Genomic DNA, 23209 nt, shown 5'->3' on the forward strand with positions numbered 1-23209 from the left:
AATCCACAGGGGAGAGGGGCTGCCACATCTCCAAGGAGTTACAAGCCAGAAAGGCCTGCTGGTCAACCCGTCCCCTGGCCCAGCTCCATCATTCTGACATTGATTCCATGTGCTTATGATTAAATCCAACTCCCTACAAAGTCAGAGCCTTTACAGAGCCAGGGATCAAAGCCCAGAGCCTGAAGACAGAATCTACGTCTTTCCCTCAGGATCCAGTGAAGAAGATTTTTCTCTCCGGTGGCAGAGGGAGCCTCTGGGGAGACGGTAAGTTCTGCTATCTGAGGAGGCTGGTGTGGCCCGTGGGCTGCCTGGATCATGCTCTAGGTCTCTGGACCCTCAAGCCTATCTCTTTACCAATGTCTCCTTTCACATATTTTTTATTTTTTAGTTTTCTTTTTTTTTTTTCCAGAGACAAGGACTCACTCTGTCACCCAGGCTGAGTGTATGATGGCATGACTATAGCTCACTGTAACCTTGAACTCCTGGGCTCAAGCAATCCTCCTACCTCAGCTGAGTAGCTAGGCCTATGTGTGTGTGTGCCTCTATGCCTGACTAATGTTTATATTTTATTTTTTGGAGGTACAGGGTCTTGCTATGTCGCCCAGGCTGGTCTCGAGCTCCCGGCCTCAAGCAATCCTCCTGCCTCAGCCTCCCAAAGCACCACTAATCTTTTCAAGCAGGGCCTCAAGGAGTAAGGACAAAGCTAATGGGTTAATGGGTGGGGGGCAGGCACCTCGTTCCTGACTGTGGCACACACACGGCCAGTGCCTGTGGGTGCTACGTCAGCCGACAACAAACATGCCCACAGACAGCAAGTCCAGTCTTCTGGCATGAGCCAGCAGGGTACGGCGGGGGCAGGAACAGGGGCAAGACAGGGTATCCAAGGCCTCTTTATTCCTTTTCTTGGGTCAAATCTCTGTGTGAGCAAAGTCCAGTGTGACCTTCTCAGCATAAAGAGACTTTTTAGGCCATAAAACAAGCGGCTCCCTGGAGGCTGGCTGCAGCACAGTGTCCCCACGGGAGGATTCTGAGCTCCAACGTGGCAGGAGCCTGGCAGCTCTCAGTCATTCGATGGGGTTGGTGGTCATGAGGCTGGAGCTCAAGCCAAACATAGTCCTGATTGCGATTCATCAGGATCCAACAATTCAGAAGCACCTGGAATCGTGAATTAAAGACCCTGTCAACACAGTCTGCTCTTCCAACCCCCAACCACCAGGGGCGCAGGCCAAGCTCTAGCTTGAAGTGTGTGGTCTGAAAGTGGCAGCTGCACCTGTGCAGCCCTCCTGGGCACAAGGGCGAGCCCAGCCTGCTCTCAAGGGGTGGCTTCTCCGGCCACTCCCCTTTTCTCCTGGCAGGGTGGGTCTGGCTGAGGCTCTGGCCATCTCTCACAGGCCGGGGACACCAGCCACTTTCCTGGCCCCTCAGGCAGCAGCTCAGGGTGACCAAGCCAGCAGACGGGAGCATTGGGTGGAGGTCTCCTCTCAGAATGACCCTTGCCTGAACCCATCTGCCAACCTGAACAGAAGATAGGTGGGAGAGCTGTGGCCTTGCTCAGGGGACAACAAACAAGTCTTTCTGTGAGAAAGTGTTTGTATGGGGAAGGGCTAGATAAAAGATGAAGAGAAAGGGATGGCCTACTGCCTCTCCACCCCATGGAACAGCCTGGTCCCTAGAAAACCGAGTGTGACCCTGGCCAATGCCCCTCAGGAGACAAGGCCACCCAGCTGACTCCCCTCTGCTCCAAAGCCACGGGGAAAAGAGCTTGCATTCCAGGGCCTGCTGTGGTCACTTATGTGGCCACCAACAGCCTCGCGGGGCACTCTGGGAATGGGAACTTCTGGAGATGAGCAATGTACCACAATGTACCAAGATGTTTTTAAAAAAGAAAAAAAAGAGACTTGTTCTCATAATTTTTAGACTATAAATGGGTTGGTTCGTCACATGTGGTTCAGCTGGGAAAACGTTCCTCGCATGTGGTCCCAGGAGAGAGAGCTCTTCAGCACACTCCGATGGCACTGGGTGAGTCAAAATTCATGCCTCTGGTATCCCGGATGGCAGCTCCAACTGCTGTCCCTTTGGTGGTCTGCGGTCCCTGTCACCCAGGAAGAGCCTGGCCCCACTGCCCCTGCACATGCAAGGTAAGGAAGGGCCTCCTGCCTCTCCTGCGGGGCCACTCTCCTCCTTCCTCCCGAGGTGCTGGGAACAGAACGGCACCAGCCTGGATCCCACTACACACTGTTGCAGACCCTCGGGGTCTGGGTTATCCAGTTCGACCCCCAACTGGGGGCAGGATGCTGTCGTCACCCCTCTTTCAACTCCCCCGAGTCAGTTTACCTTCAGAGAGGAGTGTGTAGGCAAGTCAAAGGCACACAGAAATCAAAAGCCACCTTACAAATACACATTTCCCAGGGAAGGGAAAGGCTTCACCAGAGGCAGCGTGAAGAGTGAGGCCTTAGCTATGACTCCCGGCTCCTGTGGTTTTCTAGCTGTGTTAACCAGCTTGAGTACTTATCTGAGCCTCAGCTTCATCAGCTGCCAAATGGAATAACTCCCACTTGTCCTATAGTCACTGTAAGGATTCAGTGATTATTCTGAAGAGTTTTAATGATAGTAGGGAAATTCTCATGATAACAGGCCATAAAAGCCCCTGCAGAACCATACACCATGTATCATTACATATGTGAACGATGAGATGGGAAGGGAGAACAAGGGAAGCAGAAGTCCAAGATGAAACTGGGCTCTTCCCCAAGGCTGGCCCTAAATGGCGAAGTAAGGCAACACATCTGATTCACTTTATTAAGGGAGTAACAACATGAACACTTAAGTCTCATAAAGAATCAGAATCACCCCCACCTCCATATCTCAACATGCAGCCCAGTAATAAGCCAGAGTACAGCCTCCTCATAGAACAGAAGGGGTGAGGCCAGGCAACTTCCTCAGGCTTAGGGGATGACACGCATGGCACGTTAGCTCCCCAAGCTGGGGGAAAATCTAGCAAACACTTTCAAGGGGGAACTTTCCACTTCCACCTTCAAACTTAGCTGAAAGGGCAGGCTGTATTCCTGGAGTATCCTGAGATGGCTCCCAAGAAGCTTACATATAAAAGGGGCCAATTTTGCCCAAATCTCTTTCAAATTGACTTCCAATTTAAAAGAGGCTGAGGGTGTGCACTTGCTGGTTGACAGCTGTGTGTGCACATTAAGGGGCACCAGTCTCAGGGCCTTAGACAGGTGAGTTTGCCCCTGCCTCAGAGACCCTGGCACAACCAGCCCCCCTGCCTGGCTGGCTTCCTCAATGTCAGACCTCAGTCAAGTGTCTCCTCAAGAGGCCTCATGGGCCACTCTACATAACAAGTCAGCTGCTCCCTGTTATCACTAGCAGCAATGACTTGTTCACTGGTCCACTGTTTGTTTTTCCACAATGGAGTGTGGTGAGGGCAGGGGCCTCATCTACCACGTACGAGGTGCATCCCTGGTACTCAGCAAGCACCCGGCTCATGGGAGGCACTCAAATGTCTGCTGAGTAAATAAATCGATGTTGGACTCTGGAGCTGGGTAAGGATGGTTTGATATCCCAGTTCCACCACTTACTAGCTCTGTGAACCTGGGTAAGTTATATCACCTTTCTGATCTGTCAGCTCGTTTGTAAGAGGGGGATAACCCTCTCTCATGGGTTCTTGTGAAGACCGAATGAGACAGAGAATACCTGGAGGCCCACTTGCATGGCCACTGGTAACTGTTATCATCACCATCGTTATTTTATTACCAGTATTATCACTTTAATATTAAACCAATTCTACTTGGGCATTCTTGTTTAATAGCTGGATTGGCTTCTTACCAAATGGGCAGGTAAAAGAAGATAGTAAAAAACAATTACAAGTAAACTACCATAGAGCAATGAGTCAGCTTTTCAGTATCACTGGGGAAGGAACTATTCTACAATAGGACAAAGTTCTAGATGTAAGAACCTTTAAAAGACTGAAGCCTATTTTAACTGTGAAAATCAACAATTTGTGGGAATTTCAGATAAATATGGGTTCAAATTCTAGCTTTTCACCTCCATGTCCTGTGGTCTTGTGTGAGTCATTTAACCTCTTGGAACCTTGGTCTCATTTGTAAAAGGAGGAACAAAACCATCTTCCCCAGAGGTTCTTGTTAAGGAGTAAAGATAATGTATATAAAATATTCGTATATAATAGAACTACAGACTGGGGGCCAAGCCCCACCCACCTCAAAGCTCAAGAGGTGAATTTTACATTTTAAAGGTTCAACAGAAAACAAACCAAGAAGCAGCAACAGAGACCTTATGTGGCCTGCAAAGCCTAAAACGTTTAGGATCTGGTTCTTGACAGAAAAAAGTCTGCCAACTTGAATTAGTATTGCCTATTTTACAGTTTTGCTGTATTTTCAGTATAGAGCTTAATTATAAATGAGATTCTGTTGATTATGGCTAACTTTCTCTGGAGCCCTTCCTTGTAAGCCTGAACAATTAAGTGACATGTTGGTGCTGTGGTGCTGGGAGGCAGGATTAGACGGAGCAGGAAGAAATCTCAACAGATCTAGCAAAACGCTTTTTAAGGAAGGTGCCGAGGCCACAAACAACTCAGGATTCAGGAAGATGTTTGCTGCTCTGCTCCTGCTCTGTAAGGACTGCACTTATCTTGGCCTGAGAGCAGCTGGAGGCAGAGGCCCCTGAGCTCCAGGTCAGAAGTGAGCGTGTGGTATGGCAAAAAAATCCATACGGGCCTTTGGAGATAAACAGGTCTGACTTTAATTCCTGGCTCTACCCCTTGCTGTGGACAAATACTTTAATCTGTGTCTTAATTTCTTAATCTGAGAAACGAGGACTAAACTAGCTATGTTTGTGAGGATTTGAGATGCTATGTAGAAATACCTGGCACTGTTTCTTATACACAGTAGGCACTGTACCAGTGGCACCTGCTGTTATTATGAATCACGATGCAGGGGAACAGCACATAGTGAAGTCTGGTAGCATTCTATGACCGAGTCATCTCATAACCAACCCAACCACCAAACGAGTGCCCTGCATCCTGCTATGGGAGGCTCCCAATTTTAGTTAGGTGAGCCAGGTAACAGATTCAAGGGAGAATGCTTGGCCGGGTAACAGATTCAAGGGAGAATGCTTGGCCAGGTAACAGATTCCAGATAGAACACTGCCACTTAGGATTTACCTCTCAAAACTCACAAGCGCTAAAGTGCAACAGGAGAAAATGACTCACAGGTCTCGATACTGGTCAAAGGCATTGTTGGCTTCCACCTCCAGCTTTCTCAGCCGAGCTGACGGCATGGCCCCATCCTCCAAGGGAGGGTCATACTTGTTACTCCATGGTGACCTGGAGGGAAGGAAGGAAAAGTATATACCATGAATCGTTCCATGAAGACACGGCCAGCGAGCAGGGAGCCTGAGCCCTGGCTATCTGAAATCTCGGAGGCAAAGCCGCTAACTCCAGCAAAGATTTTTCTGGGTCCTGGCAACAAACAGGGCTTTCTGGAGGTTTGGAGAACAAGGGCTCTGATGCGGGCAGACTGGGGCACACGCCCGTGCTCCACCTCTCACTGGCTGTGAATGCTCAGCAAGTGTCCCAACTCCCTGAGCCTCACTTTTCTCCTGCGTAAAATGCGGCTGCTACTTGCTCCGCACACAGGGTCGTCATGAGAAATGAGACAAGCAGATCAAGCGCCCAGCCCAGAGCTTGCCAGACTGTCAGTGTTCAACAAATGCTAGTTCTTTCTTACCCGCTTTCTCAGTTTTGTGTTCACCACCTATTTTTTTTTCTTTCTTTTTTTTTTTTTTTTAAGACAGAGTCTAGCTCTGTCGCCCAGGCTGGAGTGCAGTGGCGTGATCTTGGCTCACCACAACCTCCGCCTCCTGGGTTCAGGCGATTCTCGTGCCTCAGCCTCCTGAGTAGCTGGAATTGCAGGTGCAAGCCACCAGGCCCAGCTAATTTTTGTATTTTTAGTAGAGGCGGAGTTTGGCCGTGTCGGCCAGGCTGGTCTCAAACTCCTGGCCTCAAGTAATCTCCCTGCCTCAGCCTCCCAAAGTGCTGGGATTATAGGTGTGAGCCACCGCGCCTGGCCATGTGTTCACCACCTTATAGTTCAACAGATGCCCCTCTCTCCTCCCTGATTTGCTGGAGGCTCTACATAAACTTTAAGACCTTCTTACATAGTAAGCGTTAAGAAGAGAGCTGTCAGTTACAGAGGCGGGCAAGAGATACAGCTCCACAGGGAAATGCTGATTACATTAGAAAACCTGAGCAATCAGGTTCTCCACGTGAACACAGGATAGCTTTTCCAACATCCAAGAGCTATGCACACATATGAAGACTGCTAAGTAATGAGAACCAGTCTTTTTGCAGCCCAAAAGACTTGCTGTATTTCTTGAAATGTATTTTGCCACATCAGGAAAGCATTTAATCACACTGAGAACTGGAAAGGGGGTTATAAGGGAAAGATCTACTCATTAATTCCTGCAGGTGGGGTTCAGAGGGCCGAGTGTTCAGAGAAAGTAGCAGAATTAAAAAGGTGAGAGAGGAATGAAAAGACAGAGAAGACAACATGGAATTCAGAAAAAGTCCTTCACACTCTTGGTCTAAACGCCTCGCTGTTTCCACTGTCAGAGACCCACAATGCCTTTTCCGCATCCCCTCCTGACCACATCATTGTGATGTGGAATGCATGTTAAGGAAAAAAAAAGTATGCTCATCATCTTCCAAACCCCAGTTTTAAAGAATTCTGCACGCAGACATCTTTCTTCTTGGTAAGTGATGCTCCACCAGGCACCTACGTCAGTAGATCATGGAGTATGGAACCAGAATAAGCTGGGCGGCCTCTTCCACCAGCCACCCGCAGGCAGCTTTCTCAGAGGCTGGTTCACAAACGGTATGTAGGGGAAGAGTTGCTGTGCTTGGTGTCCCCAAAGAGTCTCCAGGCAGGAATTACACTCCTGATCACCTCAAAGCAGAAGGAGCCTTGGAAATCCTTGTTTCCAAGCTGACCACTTTCTGCTGCTCACCGCAGTTTTGGTAGAGACTTTGCAAGAATGGGGTGAGACACCCCCTGCTGCCCCATGAGCAGCAGCCAGCTTTCATGGTCACACTGGGCCATCGCACACCATGGGAAGCAAACTGTCAACAAGCTGGGACCCCAGATGGCTGGGAAGACAGGCGTGCCGCCCACAATCGATGCCTCAGTTCTCCTGAGAAGCCAAGCGCGGGCTGACCTGTCAGTTCTTGTAGCCTGTCGCTCCTCCCTCTGAAACGGGGCTGCCCAACAGAACTTCCTGAGACGATGGAGATGTTCTAAATCTGTGCTGTCCAAAACAAGTCACTAGCCATGTGTAGCTACTTGCATACTTACAATGTGACCGGTATGACCAAGAGACTCAATTCTTAATTTTATTTAATGGGAATCAATTTGAATGCAGATAGCTCACTCTAGAACCTCAGCTAGGAGGCGGCAAGAGCCTTTTCTGTCATCTTCTCTTCGGGTTGCTCAGCACCTAGAACAGTGCCTGGCACTCAACTACACGCTCATTAAAAAAAAAAATGTTTTTAAGAATGAATTTGGCCAGGCGCGGTAGCTCACACCTGCAATCCCAGCACCTTGGGAGGCCGAGGCGGGAGGATCACAAGGTCAGGAGTTTGAGACAAGCCTGGCCAACATGGTGAAACCCCATCTCTACTAAACATACAAAAAATTAGCTGGGTGTGGTGGCATGCACCTGTAATCCCAGCTACTCAGGAGGCTGAGGCAGGAGAATCACTTGAACCCAGAAGGCGGAGGCTGCAGTGAGCTGAGATCGCGCCACTGCACTCCAGCCTGGGTGACAGAGCAAGACTCCATCTCGGGGAAACAAACAAAAAAAAATGAATGAATTCTTCTTGTCCAATCACAGTTGTAAATAAATAAAATAAAAAAGCATGAATTCTTGCACCCCCGCCCCCCCACCACAACAGAACCAACCACTCCCTCCTCCCTCTCACACAGATGTTGATCCTCATGCCTGTCATATCCTTGCCCTTCTTCCCTCACCCTCGACTGCAAGAGGTCTTTGACAGCAGAGAGCCTGTGCTGCCTGCCCTTGTCCCCAGTACCCAGCCCTGAGTTAGTGCCAAGCAGATGCTGCTGGTGGACCGAAGCCTCACAGCCCGGGAGAGGAAGAAAGGGGAATTCTGCTGGTGTTCCACTTCTCCAAACCAAGAGATGGAGCAGCTTTCTGGCTTTTTCATGCTGGTCACGGGCATGGCGCCCAGGTGCTGTCCTTCTTGGGAGCATCTTGCTCTGTCGCCCAGGCTGGAGTGCAGTGATGTGAACATGGTCCACTGTACAGGACCATAGGCATGTACCACCATGCCCAGCTAATTTTTTTTTTTTTTTTTTTTTTTTTTGAGACAGAGTCTCACTCTGTTGCCCAGGTTGGAGTGCAGTGGCATGATCTCAGCTCACTGCAACCTGTGTCTCCTGGGTTCAAGCAGATTCTCCTGCCTCAGCCTCACCTAAGCACTAAAAAACAAAAACACCAAATCAACAAAAGCCTCTCATCAGATCTCAGAGACAAAGATCCAGGTGAAAAGATGCTGTCGCCATGATTTATCTATAAACAAGGCTTGGTTCTTCTGCTGGCCGGGGGAGTGGATAAGAATCTGAGGGTGTGGAGCTGAATTCCCTCCTTCCCCTGGGTGGCCCTTTGAGACTCTGCAGCACACTCATACGCAGGACCGTTCCCACAGTTCGATGACAGCCATCGCCTTCCTGTAGGCTGGGAAGACCCGACCCAAGTGGCGTTCATTTCAAGGCACCCTGATTAGACACAAGAGCCCATCTTTCGGGCAGACTGGGGGCCTGCAATTTGCAAGAAGCCTGTAACTCACATTTCTACTGGCTCACAGACGATAGCATTTCAAGCTGTTAGTCCTGAAGCCAGGGTAATTGTAGCTGAGGGAAATATCATAACATTAACCAGAATATTCTTAGTGGAAGGGGCACTCAGAACACACTTAAGAGCTTAAATGGAGGCCATTTGAAAAAAGACAGATGGACAGGAATGCCTAGATTTCAAAAGTCAGGACTTTCATTTCCCTCCGAGAAGGCTTTTTGTTTCAGCTAACAGGTTTCAAACGGTGCTGCTGGCAACGGTCACACCATAAGGATCTTATTTAAGCAAACCATCAAACACAGTCAGGATGGAAATCTGTGGACAGAATCAGAAGACCTTGAAGTTTCATATCGAGAAGAGGAGAAAGAAAGACATACTTTCTGCCTCCACACCCCAGGCTCCTCTCTAAAGGCCTGAGATCCCCCAGAGCTGGTGGTAGGGCCTCAGGAATGCAGGTGGGGGACAAAGGGGTGACCTGGAAGGGCTGCAGGTACCAAGTCTCCCGCAGAGCCTGGCCTAGCCACGGACCTAGACATGATCCCGTCCTTCCACCAGCTCCTGCAGAACAGCTGCCTTACACAGTCAACTGGAGTTTTTAGGTGGAAATAATAAATATAATAATGATGTTGATTAAGCAAGACCAGTTCAAGGAACACCTCCTCCAGGAAGCGTTCCCTGAACTGCATGCCGGGCGAGAATACTTCTCCCTGCCTGCTCCCTGGTCTGTCAGACCACTCACCATCTTCACTGGACTTCTCTCTCTAAGGGCTGGTCCACCCACTTCATCAGTGGCTCCCTGGCTGGGCAATGTGGCTCACACCTGTAATCCTAGCAATTTGGGAAGCTGAAGTGGGAGGACTGCTTGAACCTAGGAGTTCGAGGCCAGCCTGGGCAACAAAATGAGGCCCCCATCTCTACAAAAAAAAAAAAAAAAGGAGAGAGAAAAAGTCAAAAAAATTAGCTGGGGCTGGGCGCAGTGGCTCATGCCTATAATCCTGACATTTTGGGAAGCCAAGGCAGGAGGATCATTTGAGGTCAGGAGTTCAAGACCAGCCTGGCCAACGTGGTGAAACCCTGTCTGCACTGAAAATACAAAGACTAGCTGGGAGCGATGGCGTACACCCGTAATCCCAGCTACTTGGGAGGCTGAGGCAGGAGAATCTGCTTGAACCCAGGAGACAGAGGTTGCAGTGAGCTGAGATCGTGCCACTGCACTCCAACCTGGACAACAGAGTGAGACTCTGTCTCAAAAAAAAAAAAAAAAAAAATTAGCTGGGCATGGTGATACATGCCTATGGTCTTGTGCAGGGGGCCATGTTCGCATCACTGCACTACAGCCTGGGCGACAGAGCAAGATGCTCCCAAGGACAGCACCTGGACGCCATGCTGTGACCAGCAGTTCCAGGCACAGAATGAGCCCTTCAAGGATGAATTTGATCGGCCTCAGGGCTGTATCACCATCTATATGCTGGGACATCTGCAGCCACATCCCCAGCCTAAACCTCTCTCCTGGAACTCCACATGGTACATCCACAGCCTACCTGGTATCTCCACTTTGATCTAATGGGCCTCTCAAGCTTAAAGTGTCCCTATGCCTGCTCCTCCCCGAGTCCTCCTCACCTCAATCAACAGTGGCTCAGGTCCGAAGCCTTGTAATCACCCTTCACACCCCACCTCCTCTTCTTCCATCCCCACCTACCTGCAGAGGCCGCTGGCTCTACTTTTAAAAGTGACCTCAAATCTCACCACTTCTCACCATTTCAACTCTAGTCTGTGGTCTGAAGGAGGGCAAAATATAATCTCTACCTAATTTCCATTTAAAGCCAGGAAAGGGACATGATTATAAAACTGTTGTCTAGTCTCTTATAAGTCAGTATTAAACTTTTTAAGTATATGACAATGTCTGTGCCATTCAACATTTCACGTGTGTTACTTCTTTTATCCCCCCAATAAATAACCCTGTGCTAACTTTTATTACCCTCAGCCTGGCCTTCAAGACCCTGCCAGACCTGCCCTGGCCATGCCTCCTCCCTCATCTCCGCCCCCACTGCCCTCCCCTCACTGCCTTCTCCACCTCTGGCCTTCTGCCAGCTCCATCCTGGTGAGCTCATCACCCAGGGCCTCAGCACCCAGCAGGCTCTTCCCCAGACCTGGACCTTTTCATCCTCCAGTTCCCACTTGTGGGAGAGCCTTCCCTGCCTGCCCGTCCTCTCCCTCCCTCCCACTGTCCTCTTTATTTTCTTCAGGAAGCATTCTGTTGAGTAAAGAAACACTACTATTTCCGTTTTACAGATGACAAAACTAAAAGACCAGCGACAATAAGTGATTTGTCAAAGTCCCATTGACACAGGGAGCTGTGCTGGTTTGAAGCCCACACTGGCTGACTCCTGATCATTTTTCCTGCTTTGACTTCCCAGAAGCCTTGCCCCATCTCCAAAGAGAGCATCAGGGTGAAGCTTCAAGACAACCCTGGTTCTGTGGTCTCCAAATAAACCTAAAGCAGGCTGTGTTCCTCTACCATTCTCCAAGGCAGTGACTACTGCAATTCATCATGGAAACACTGGGCCAGTTTAAGGATTCCCACTCTTAAAAAATAGAGGTATAACTCCTACATGCCCTTAAAACCCAGCTCAGACATCACCTCCTTCAGGAAGTCCTCCTGGAGTTGACCATGGCCTCTTCTGTGCTACCGTCCCACCCTGAACAGACTTTGCACTGGCTGTATGAATCACATCATACAGTTACCAGTTACCCAATGTGTCTCCTATGCTAGACCTGGTGATCAGACACCCAGGGCAGGGACTAATGTCAACTTAGTTATTTACAGCCTTGGGCGAGGTGACGGAAAGAGAGAGGAGAGTTGTGTATCTGACAGAGCTGCGTTCGTAGATCCCTTACCACAGAGACCCTCCCAGCCCTCAGGATCCCCATCATATGCGCACCCTGTACACTGCCCTCCGCAGGACTGAATGCAATTATAATAGAACAGTTGTTTTTGAACAACATCCCTCTCCCGTTAGACTGGAAGATCCATGAAGGCAGGGGGCCTTTGGTCCGCTGCTCTATCTCTCATGCTTGTGGGTGGCACTCTTCAAACGTCTGCTGCATGATTGGAATAACAGATGGAACGATGAGAAGAATGGGGAGGACAAGAGAAGAAAGGAGAGGAGGGCAGGGAACAAACGGAAGGAAAGCTGAATGGGCTGCCAGCTGCCCAAGTCCAAGGTCCCCGTGCTCTGCAGCAGGTACCTACGGCAGCCCGCGTGTGCCTGCTGTGCCTGCTGCATCCCCGGGGCATGAGCTCACCTATAGGAGTCCCCATCTCTGTTGTAGTCACACAAAAGGTAATCCTTTCCCACCACCTTGTCTCTGGCAATTTTCAGTGGCTGGTCAACAGAAGACAGGAGATCCTCACATAGACTGGGGACCTGGCAGAGAGAAAGGACAAGGTCGAAACAGAGGTTAAAACAGCACACCAAACTCAGGTGGCTAACAATACTGCAGCCATATTGTGGTCAGTACCTTTAACATCTGGCCCTGGGCACTGAGACAAAATTATGGGCCTGTTCTTTTCTTTTCCACATGTGTCTGACACCAACTGTGTCCCTCTATAAAGAAACCCATTCTTGAATTACAGTGGAGCGTGATTTCTAATACAGTCTTCCTTCCAAAAACTGTGTGCAGCTTTAATTACCTGGTCACCAGGGTGGCCTAGTAAATTTAAGTGTGTATGTGCTTGGTATTGGTCTCTGGTGGGCAAAGTACAAGCTGAAGTCCCGAGAAGAAGGTAAACATTTCAAATACACAGGAATCTAAAGAACTCGGAGTAGAAAAACTCGTCCGTGCCGGGAACTCCCACAGGCTCCTATGCTGGGTGGAGTCTCCAGTACTTTCCAGGCCCCTAGCCAAGTGTTACCAGTTGGCTTGTAGAGTCAACTCTATCTGCTGCAAAGAGAGCTTCACCCCGGCTCCCCCACAGCACAGAGCCCCAGTGGGCTCACCTCCGGCTGGCCTGCCAGGGGGCCGCCTCACCAAGAAAGATGACCCCGCGGTCGGGGGCTGGCAGGACTCAAACTCTGGGCCAATGTTGCGACTCTGACACAAGGCTCTGCAAGTAACCAGGCCACTGGCCTCCTCCTCCCAACTCAAACATCAATTTCTACCAAAATATCCCAGAAAGGGATGGCAGCACTTTCAGAAATGGATTCCTTCAGGCCTGAGTCACTTCCACGCTATATTTTCAATGTGCTGACTTATTTGTTTCATGGGCCTGGGTTTATGGGGGCTCCACCATATCGTTTACCAGGAAAGTGCCTGCCAGTTGCACCAATAACCCTTCCCAGTGGAAAAATTCCATCGTATGGCAAAGACACCAGCAGAGCAGCTCAGCAGACGGGCTGACAGCGACAGTGGTTCCTGTGTTCTTCCAGAAGGCCCTTGCCACCATCCAAGAGACAGGCAGGGACAGGGAGTCCCACCACCACAGGGACCACCCAGCCTCCACGGGCTCCTCTGCTGCCCCTCCAGGGTGCTTTAGAACTCAGCTTGGAAAGCAACGCCCAGCACAACTAAAGGACTGTAACCCTGCCTCATAACTCACAGAAATTCTGGCCTTGGTGAGATGATCTGTTTCTTATACAGGGGACAGTACCCAAAGAGATAGACATACACCACCAACCCCTGTGTACAATGTGCTGGGCTTACAGGTGTGAGCCCCCAGGCCTGGCCTGTACCTGTGCTTGTTTTCAGAATTCTTTCTCCATGTGTATCTGCCCTTTCCTAACAAACATAATAAAAATGGGGGCTACTTTCAAAGTTGGTTTTGGTGATAATATCATGCACCTTACCATTTCCATGTGCCTGCCATGCACCACGCACTATGGTAGAGCATATTGTTGACTTGAAAGCTCACACGCATTCTGCAAAGTGGGTATGCAAAGCCCCATTTTACAGATTAGAGTTGAGGCCGGGAGCCATAAAGTTACCCAAGGGCCACACAAGAAGCAAGCAGTGGAGACAGAAAACAAAACCAGGGCCAGATGAGTCCAAAGTCCCTACTCCTCCTACTCTAACTTTGGTTTAATGTCCAGCTAAGGGGAAGGACAGTGCATGCTAAAGGCACCCTCTGGTGGCAAACAGCCCTCTCCTAGCCCCAGCCCTGCTTAGCTGTGGCCACAGAGCCCTTCAACTGGAAGGAAGTCCTGGCTGAGGAAGGAAGGTCTAACAGCTTCCACCCGAGGCCATCTGGGACCTGAAAGAGGCCTTGCTGTGCTGCCACAGCCAATGAAGCCACCTCACCTAACACATCATGCCTGTCCCTAAGCATCTCTGTTTATAATGCTGGGATGCTGCCTTGGCTTATCTGTTGGGCCTCAACTTTTGCCTGGAACCCATTCTCTCTGGTTGGAGTCCTGACACCATCAGCTCAATTTTTCCTCAATTACAGTAGAGACTGAGCAAACAGGGTCTGAAGTTAGACCTCCTGACTCCGCTGCGTACAAGTAGCCTTATGGCCTGGGTAAGTCATTTTACTTCTCTACTAAGACTTGGTTTCCGTACCTGTAAAATGGGGATAATAAAACCAACCCATCTGGGTGCCCATGCCCATGTGATTTTGAGGACCCACATGACACAATGCATTCCGTGTTCAGGGCAGAGCCTGGCACAGGGAAATGCACGTATGTTACTGCCTGACACGTTCAGGTTCCTTTCCCTTCCTTTAGACAATATCATCTGTCACCTGTTACTCTCAGATGGCAACAATAGCCTGGATCATACCTGAATTCACTGTGCTGCTTCAGACACAGGGTACAAACGTACCTGTGAGGATCCGGTGCTTCACCCCAGTTCCACCTGGAGCCAGCTGTTTCCCTTCTCCTGCCAGGCACACTGCTTGCAGCTAAGTCCCCTCAACGTAGGAAAGCTCACAAGAAAATAGGGTTTGGTATAAAAGAGGCTTGACTCTACTCCTATCCAAGAGATTCATCTATGAATCGAAAGCATCTGAGTAATCTCTTCCTAGCACTTAACACCAGGTGGAGTATTTTTTCATTGATCAGTTATCTGTATCCCTCACTAGAATGTAAGTTTTACTGGGGCAAGGACTTCGATCTTACTCACTGCAGGATTCTCAGTGCCTGTGGCTGTGCCTGACACACAGCAAATGCTTAATATATTTGGGAGGAAGGAAAGAAAGGAGGGAAAGAGGGAGGAAAGGAGGAGTTTTACAACACGGAGCCTCCCAAACTCCAATCAACTTTACTTTAAAATTAATAAATTGGCAGGTAATAGGAATCTTTAGCAAAAGCACTTGTCCAGAACTAAATCTGAATGGATGCTGATGACAAGTTTCCTGTGTGGTTCCAACCCAGCACTCTCAGATATGAACCATGGTATGGTGGGAAAGCACTGAACAAAGAGAACCGGAGCTGTCATGAAAGCCCTGGCATTTTTTATTAACATATGACCTCAAGGAGCCACAGCATTGGTGGAAAGAGTGAGAACTAAGAGACCTGGGTTCTAGCCTCTGCTCTGCTGTGAGCTGGCCACGGAACCTTAGGCAAAGCCCAAGACTGTTCATTTGTCAAACACAGTAGATGAGCTGCACGGAGACAGACCACCCTTGAAGATCTGTGATGGGACTTCTGAAAGCCAGTATGCCAGGTACTAACCAACCCCAGAAAAACATACATTTAAACTGGAACTCAAAAACTGGCACTGCTTGTCCTACAGTGAAAAGCCTCTGGGACTTGATATGGCCAACGGACTCCACCCAAGCAGGCACCATTTTTGCCTTTTGGATCAACTCTTAAGCTGGGCCATAGTTTTGGCCATATTTCCATCAGCGCTGTTTCTTTTGATCAAAGATAATCTGCTCTGGAATAATAACATTTTCGTTGTCATGGGGAATGAGAAATGTGGAATAATACATGGTGTGCCCACAGACTTGGACCACAGCAGCTGCCCAAAGGTGCATTAGTCACGACCTGGCACCATCACTGATCCCGTCTCATACCCACGCCGTCCCTCCACCTCTGCCCGAAACTCCTCAAACAACCACACGGTCCCATTCACCACTCCCTGAACATGCACGTGCATTCCCCCACTTAAACATCTTCCCCATTGAGGGTTGCTGGATAAAACAGAGGGAGGCCAGTTCAGTCTGAATTTCAGATACACAATGAATAACATTTTAGTATGACTACTTCCTAAAGGTTACATGGGTCGTGTGTTTTTTTTTTCTCAATGAGATGGAGTCCAGCTCTGTCACCCAGGCTGGAGTGCAGTGGCGCGATCTCGGCTCACTGCAAGCTCCGCCTCCCAGGTTCATGCCATTCTCCTGCCTCAGCCTCCCGAGTAGCTGGGATTACAGGTGTGTGCCACCACGCCCAGCTAATTTTTCTATTTTTAGTAAAGATGGGGTTTCACCACGTTAGCCAGGATGGTCTCTATCTCCTAACCTCATGATCCACCCACCTCGGCCACCCAAAGTGCTAGGATTACAGGTGTGAGCCACTGCGCCTGGCCAGGCCATGTATTTTTATTTGCTAAATCTGACAGCCAATCCCCACTGCTCTCTTAAATCTTACTGATCCTTCAGGGCCTGGCCCAAACTCCAACTTCTTTATCAAGATGTCAAATTCTTCAGAATTCCTGCAGTAACACTAATATCAACTGAATCCTAAATGCTTTGGGGATGGCTGTTCTAATACTGCCAATGACTTTCACCTTACTCCTTCCTCACCACTTAGCATTTTTCATTGTGAATTGACTCCACACCTACAGAGGCCAAGACAGGCCCTCCAGCCTCAGCGCAGCATCACGCCCGCTGCAGCAGGGATCAGTCAATGCATGCTGATTCCATGTAAGTGGATATTAATCCTGTGGTCTGAGGCCATATTACAGAACCAGAATGAAGGCAGTGTATCTCTGTAATCTAACCAGTCCCTACACTCATCTGAACCCCGGCCCCCGCCCCCTACTCATGTCGAGTGCTTAGAGCAGTGGAAGAAATCACATTAAGTGTCACAGACCATGGGTTTGTACAGTGATTTAAATGAAACGACAGGTCCAAACAAAGCCGAGAGTTCACTTTGGGGTGCATGTGGCACTGGCTCTGTCGCCTCCAAAGCCAGGGAGGGCCTCTGAGGAGGAGGAGCGGTGCTGACACGCGGCAGCCGGATGGTTTCTGTCTAAACCACCCATCTGAACTGCCTAACGGCCTTGGAGGGAAGGTTCAGATAACACCAAAGGTGTCAGACCAATCCAGGCTGTTGGGGGGATTTAAACATAATTCCCAGTGACTTGGAATAATAAACACTACACTGGTCAGGACAGTGCCTGCCGTCTTTCTGGTGGGAGTTCAGGGCTCCACCAGTTCCTCTGCTGCCACAGGAGTGTGCCCACCCCAGGGAGCAGGAGCCACAAGTCCTTCACCACCGATACTTTTGCCGGGCTCGGTGGTACCCAGGAGGCCACTGGAAAGACGGGTGGGGAGTGGGTAAAGTGAACTAGGGCAGGGAAAAGAAAAAACCCCAGAAGGTAGAAGGTAAGGGAGAGACTAGGATGCCATTGGCAACGGCCTCAGGTGACACCTGAATAATAATCCGTGGAAGGACCAGGTGATCGTAATAGCCCTGCCCTGCGTGGCAGGCACTATGCTAGCAGCTCTCCCTGCCCTTCCCTATGATCCTGACAATGGCTCTTCACACAGACACGCACTCCAGTCCTTGTTTTAAAGAAGGGGAAACAGGGCCTTAGAGAAATAACTTGACCGGAGCCACGCAGCTACGGGCCAATGTCTGAGGAAGGACATGCAGTTATATACAGCACAGCTAGGTTCAAAAAGAAACTGCTTTTCCCAAACTGAACACTTTTTTTTTTTCTTAAATCATCCAACCCAACAGCTGATCACACGAAGAGATACAAATCAGAAGTTTCCGGCCACAAGTGAGGTTCGTGTTTGTGCCGCCATATGGTTCTACTTTGCCTCTTCCTCTTCTCCATTAGTTATTAATGTTGAAAAAAATTGTTCAACCAGAAAAAGAAACTTGAGATGAACCCTTAAAAAAAGCACAAAAGCCAGAGCAGCTCAGACCCACGGAGTCTAACCCACGGCGCCCTTGTCTTTAAGAAGTGCACCCTTGTACCTCGGTTTTTTAAAAAATGGCCAAATGAACACATTCCATCTTTTGATCTGCCTGTTGGCCGAGAGCCCACCACCAGCAAGATAGGAATCAAAAACAGATTCTGCGTACTTGGGTGCACTCAGAGGAAACTGCCACGCCAGAATGCTGCAGCTGCCGACGTCCAGCAGAGGGCTCTGTGACAATTTGTTCCTTTTATTTTTCCAGAAGGCCCAAAACTTTCTTAAAAAGATAAAAGAGCATTTCAAGTGGCACATACACTCGTGTCAGAAACAAAATATACAGTGTGGCATTCTGTAAAAACACCAACCTCGAAACCGAACAGGTTCAAATCCTCGGTCAGTCACTTGCTGGCTGAGTGTAACCTTCCTAAGTCTCTGGAACTGGGGGTTACAACATCCATGTCAAGGAGAAATTCACACTGTTCCATAAACCCCGAATGCCCGCTCCAGGCCCGTGTCAGGTGCAAGGGCTCAGCACGGGAAGAGATGGACATGGGCGGCCCTGCTCTGACAGCAAAGTCCAGCCACAGAGGCATCTCCAAGAGGCAAGGGTAGGCCAGGCATGGTGGCTCACGCCTGTAACCAGCACTTTGGGAGGCTGAGGAGGGTGGATCACTTGAGTTCAGGAGTTCAAGACCAGCCTGGCCAATGTGGCAAAACCCCATCTCTACTAAAAATATACAAAAATTAGCCAGGTGTGGTGGTGCATGCCTATAATCCCAGCTACTCAGGAGGCCGAAGCAGGAGAATCACTTGAATCTGGGAGATAGAGGTTGCCGTGAGCCAAGACTGTGTCACTGCACTGTAGCCTGTGCGACACAGAGAGACTCTGTCTCAAGGTAAAAAAAAAAAAAAAAAAAGAGGCAGGAAGCGAACCTGCAGGAGACGACAGAAGGGGGTTGCTGTGGGGGCAAGTCAGCAGTCTAGGAGGTGGCACAGAGATGACATGTGAATAATGACCAAGGAGCCGGCCCTCCAAGACTGCAGGGAAAAATAACAGGGGCATCCCAAGAAGAGGGAAGAGCTGGCATGAGGCTCTGCTGCAGAGGCCACTGAGGCAAGTGCAAGAACAGAGAGGAGCAAAGCGCGGCTGGAGTGAGACCCAGTGAGGCAGCACGCAGCACCTCCTGGGTCACTCCAAGTGTGAGGGCAGGCCCTGGCACACTGCTTTTCTTAAGAATTAAAAAAAAAAAAAAAAAAAGGCCAGCTGCGGTGGCTCGCTTGAGATCAAGAGTTCGAGACCAGCCTGGGCAACAGGGCAAGACTCCGTCCCTACTAAAATAATAATAATAAAAATAGCCAGGCATGGTGGCATGTTCCTGTAGTCCCAGCTACTCAGGAGGCTAGGGTGGGAGGATTGTTTGAACCCGGGAAGTCGAGGCTGCAGTGAGCCGTGTTTGCACCACAGTACTCCAGCCTGGGTGACAGAGTAAGAACCTGACTCAAGAAAAAAAGTGTTTACTTATGTATAATAGGTAATACATTCACATAGGTCAGAATTCAAAAAGGTACAAGAGCACATGCTGGGAAAGGCCTCCCAGTGAGGGCCTGCAAGCTGGCTGTCCTCGCCTAGGGAGATGGCCTCCAGGTCAGGATCCCTTCAGTGGGGCTCCCTTCACCGGTCTGTCCAGATGGACACATGGCCTCCACCAGCCTATGAGAGATGCAGGAATCCCCACCCCACCACCACTACTTAGTGTAGAGAAAACACAAGCCTGCTCCCCAACTCCCCAAGGGCAGCTTCGTTACAGGGACCCCAGTTTGTCATTAGGAACACTGAGCCACGGAAGCACAGCTTCATGTAGCCGAGGCTGGAGCTTCCGACCCATTTTGCCTAATGGCTCTCTGAGCATGGCCACCTCTGCAATGAGAAGGCACCTGCACAGGCGGCAGCTTCGCGCCGGGCCTGAAAGTCACACCCGGGTGGCCAAGCTTGTTTTTGGACGGGAAGCAGCTGTGCTCCCAGAGACTCAGGCAAGTGGTACCCCTGAGTAACCAGAGGGGGACCCCAGGGGCTCCCGCTCACCCCAGGAAGCATCAAAACATATCTCCTTAGGATAATAGCCACGTGAGCTAGGGTATGGCGCACCTATTCGGAGGCAGGATTGAGGGCACCCCCCAACCTGTGGATGAGAAAACCCAGGCACGGGGAAGCTGCTGGCCCCGGCTGTCCCAGCCAACACGAGGTGGAGAGGAATGAGAATCTCAATTTGAGACTGACCCAGCTCTTCCAAAGACCAGGCCCCACCGGGTCAACAAGGCGAGCTGCCCCCATCCCCAGTCAGGCTCAGGGGACAGGGGAGGAAAAAAGAATAGAATTGGGGGAATTATGGGACTGTGAGGACCAAAGCTTTTTCCCCCAAGTGCCCGGTCACGGCAGACCCAAGGTGCCTGGGGTCGCCTGGGAAGGGCTGCAGGGCTGGGCTCTCCTGCCCCTCACCACAGCCCACAGCCCACAGCAGATCCGACATGTGACCTTTCCACTCTGGGCCTCGGGGACTCCTGGCGTGTGGGCAGGGGCTCAGTGCCTACTGCCCAGCAGAGCCTAGTGAGAAACTGGCCCCCCGCCTGCCAGGGCCACACACAAGAGGACACTTCCAGGTCCAGCCTCTCTCCTCTTTAAGAAGTCACTTGGCGCTGAGGGCCATATTTTTTTGTTTTGTTTTGTTTTTGAGACGAAGTCTCGCTCTGTTGCCCAGGCTGGAGTGCAGTGGCGCGATCTCGGCTCACTGCAACCTCTGCCTCCCAGGTTCAAGTGATTCTCCTGCCTCAGCCTCATGAGTAGCTGGGATTATAAGTGTGCACCACCATGCCCAGCTAATTTTTATATGTTTATAGAGATGGGGTTTCACCATGTTGGCCAGGTTGGTCTCAGGTGATCCGTCCTCCTTGCCCTCTCAAAGTGCTGGGATTACAGGCATGAGCCACCGCGCCTGGCCAAGGGCCATATTCTTTAAGTGCAAGCACAGCCTGCTTTCTTCCTGTGAAGGCTGTAAGTTGTAAGATGCACCAGTAATTATAACATCGCTAAGTGTACACATTAAGTGTAAGAAGCAATTTCCCAATTTTGGCAACATTAAAACGCAAGCGATGGCTGGGCACAGTGGCTCACGCCTGTAATCCCAGCACTCTGGGAGGCTGAGGTGGGCGGATCACCTGAGGTCAGGAGTTTGAGACCAACCTGGCCAACATAGTGAAACGCTGTTTCTACTAAAAATACAAAAATTAGCCGGGCGTGGTGGCGCAGGCCTGTAATCAGCTACTTGGGAGGCTGAGGCAGAATTGCTTGAATCCAGGAGGCGGAGGTTGCAGTGAGCAGAGATCGCGCCACAGCACTTCAGCCTGGGTGACAGAGCAAGACTCTGTCTCAAAATACAAAACAAAACAAAACAAACAAACAAAAAAAGTGAGCAAGCCACGCAACATAGATTTGAGATAATGGTACATACAGCACATCTGGCGGAGTAACACAGATGTTTCTGACTTAAGATTTTTTTGATTCTGCGATAGTATTCAGTAGAAGCTGTAGTTTGAATTTTGATCTTTTCCTGGGCTAGCGATGCACGGTCTGATCCTCCCTCATGACGCAGGGAGACAGCAGCTCCCACAGCTCCCCACAAGCCCTGTGATCAAAAAGGTGAGCGATGACACTCTACAGCCACCGCGCGCCAGGTGCTTTCACCAAACTGTAGGTGTGTTCTGAGCACATTTAGGGTCAGCCAGCCTAAGCCACGACGCTTGGCAGGTTAGGGGGATTAAAAGCATTTTCTACTTCCAGTGGATTTTTCGTCACGTAACCCCTTCGAGGGTGCAGCAGCATCTGTACCTGCTCATATGAGGCACATGACTCAAGGCGGGGGTTGTGGTTGGTTACCTAGGGTTTAATACAACTGAGGCTGGCCGAGAGGGCCAACATTAGGAAGCCATTTTTGACCAACAAATGATTTATTCTACTTAGAAATGAGTCTTCCACATGCCATTAACAACAAAGAGCTTTTTCAGGAAACGGTAAGTCCCCTCCATCTCTTTCTTTTCTCAGACAGGTGCCCTGACCATCCAGAGATAAATAATAAACAAAAGCAGGCCTCCTGGGCTCGCTTTCAGCCATTCATACTCCAAACCCCAAAGCTTTGCCCTCTGGAATCTCACAGCCTGGAAGGGGCCACAACGGTTTCCTAAAGAAAGGGTCAGGAAGGGGCAGAACAAAGAAGACAAATGGAAAGGAGAAATGAAAATCACTACATTTGGGTCAACCACAGGCACACACAAGGCTCCTGTTGTCCACATGTAACCTTAAGCTTCCCTGAAGGGGATGAACCAGGCCCTCGGAGCCTAATTAAATGAACCATTTCCTGGCCAGGCACACAACCCATCACCTGTGTGCAGAGAAGCCAGGGTCTCTCTAAGCTCCCGGCTGCTTTTAATTAAGGACTCGTCCCTGAGAGATGAAGCACAACATACAAAACCACCTTCGAGTCACCAGAATGGAAGTCATCTTGGACTTAGTGCTGAGAACTGCCTGCAGCCGGCCAGCCAGCCGGCAGGAGAAGCTGCCGCCTACAGCCAGGCGATGGCCTCAGGCTAAGGAGCACAGGGAGGCTCCCCTGACTCAGGCTTGCCCCACACCCAGCATCCTGCATGTCTATCCAGACCACCTTTCTTCCCCGTGTTCCACCTAAGTCATCCTTCAGGGTCTGATTCGGCCACGCCTGCCTCTTCCACTGCAACCTCCCAAAGCCGCGACGGCAGAGGCCGTTGCCCCGCCTCTACTCCTGCACCCTGTGCAGGATGCGGTCTTGAGCCTCACAGGTTTGTGACATGCATGTGTCTCCCCAGGGCAGTGATGAGCTGTCTGGACGGCCTCATGCCCGGCTTGATGCTGGCAGGACTTCTGAAGCGTTGGTGGGATGGTGTGGGATGGTGGAAAACTAGGGCCACTTGGGTCAGGTTCTGATCTTTTGAAGCCCAAGCCTGCCTTGGTGGGAAGCAAGTTCTCAGCACTCTTCAGCACCTCCCTTAAAGGAGGGACTATTCTTCGGTGAGTGGGAGACAGACCGAAACTTGACGTGGATGGCATTTCATCTTCCTGACTGCCAGCCCTGAGTTGGATGAAGGTGTGCACCCACTGGGCGTGGGCTGCCGCCTGCTGTGGAGCTGCCGCTG

The 23209-nt window shown here is 50.2% G+C and overlaps 1 protein-coding gene across 12 annotated transcripts in view, besides 2 other annotated features; it reads right to left on the reverse strand.

Moving 5' to 3' along the window:
- Window positions 1–23209, reverse strand: part of CAPZB (capping actin protein of muscle Z-line subunit beta) — a 146765-nt gene that overhangs the window by 34526 nt on the left and 89030 nt on the right. For 9 of the 12 annotated variants that reach the window (NM_004930.5, NM_001206540.3, NM_001206541.3 and 6 more), the window contains 2 exons: window positions 12205–12326; window positions 5240–5353 (listed from right to left, as the gene is read on the reverse strand). In NM_004930.5, the coding sequence (NP_004921.1) occupies window positions 5240–5353; window positions 12205–12326 (236 nt within the window). Of the gene's footprint in view, window positions 1–874; window positions 1156–3022; window positions 3037–5235; window positions 5354–12204; window positions 12327–23209 lie in introns of those variants that run through there. The other 3 variants (NM_001313932.2, XM_017002429.3, XM_017002430.3) reach the window with 2 other exon arrangements.
- Window positions 18153–18202: an enhancer, noted in NCBI's record as "active region_300". NCBI's record gives its function as "activates an Ori minimal core promoter by ATAC-STARR-seq in GM12878 lymphoblastoid cells {active_cell/tissue: GM12878}" and the evidence as "EXISTENCE:reporter gene assay evidence [ECO:0000049][PMID:35858748]".
- Window positions 19735–19874: an enhancer, noted in NCBI's record as "active region_301". NCBI's record gives its function as "activates an Ori minimal core promoter by ATAC-STARR-seq in GM12878 lymphoblastoid cells {active_cell/tissue: GM12878}" and the evidence as "EXISTENCE:reporter gene assay evidence [ECO:0000049][PMID:35858748]".

This window comes from Homo sapiens, chromosome 1, assembly GCF_000001405.40.
Source record: "Homo sapiens chromosome 1, GRCh38.p14 Primary Assembly".
Taxonomy (NCBI): domain Eukaryota; kingdom Metazoa; phylum Chordata; class Mammalia; order Primates; family Hominidae; genus Homo; species Homo sapiens.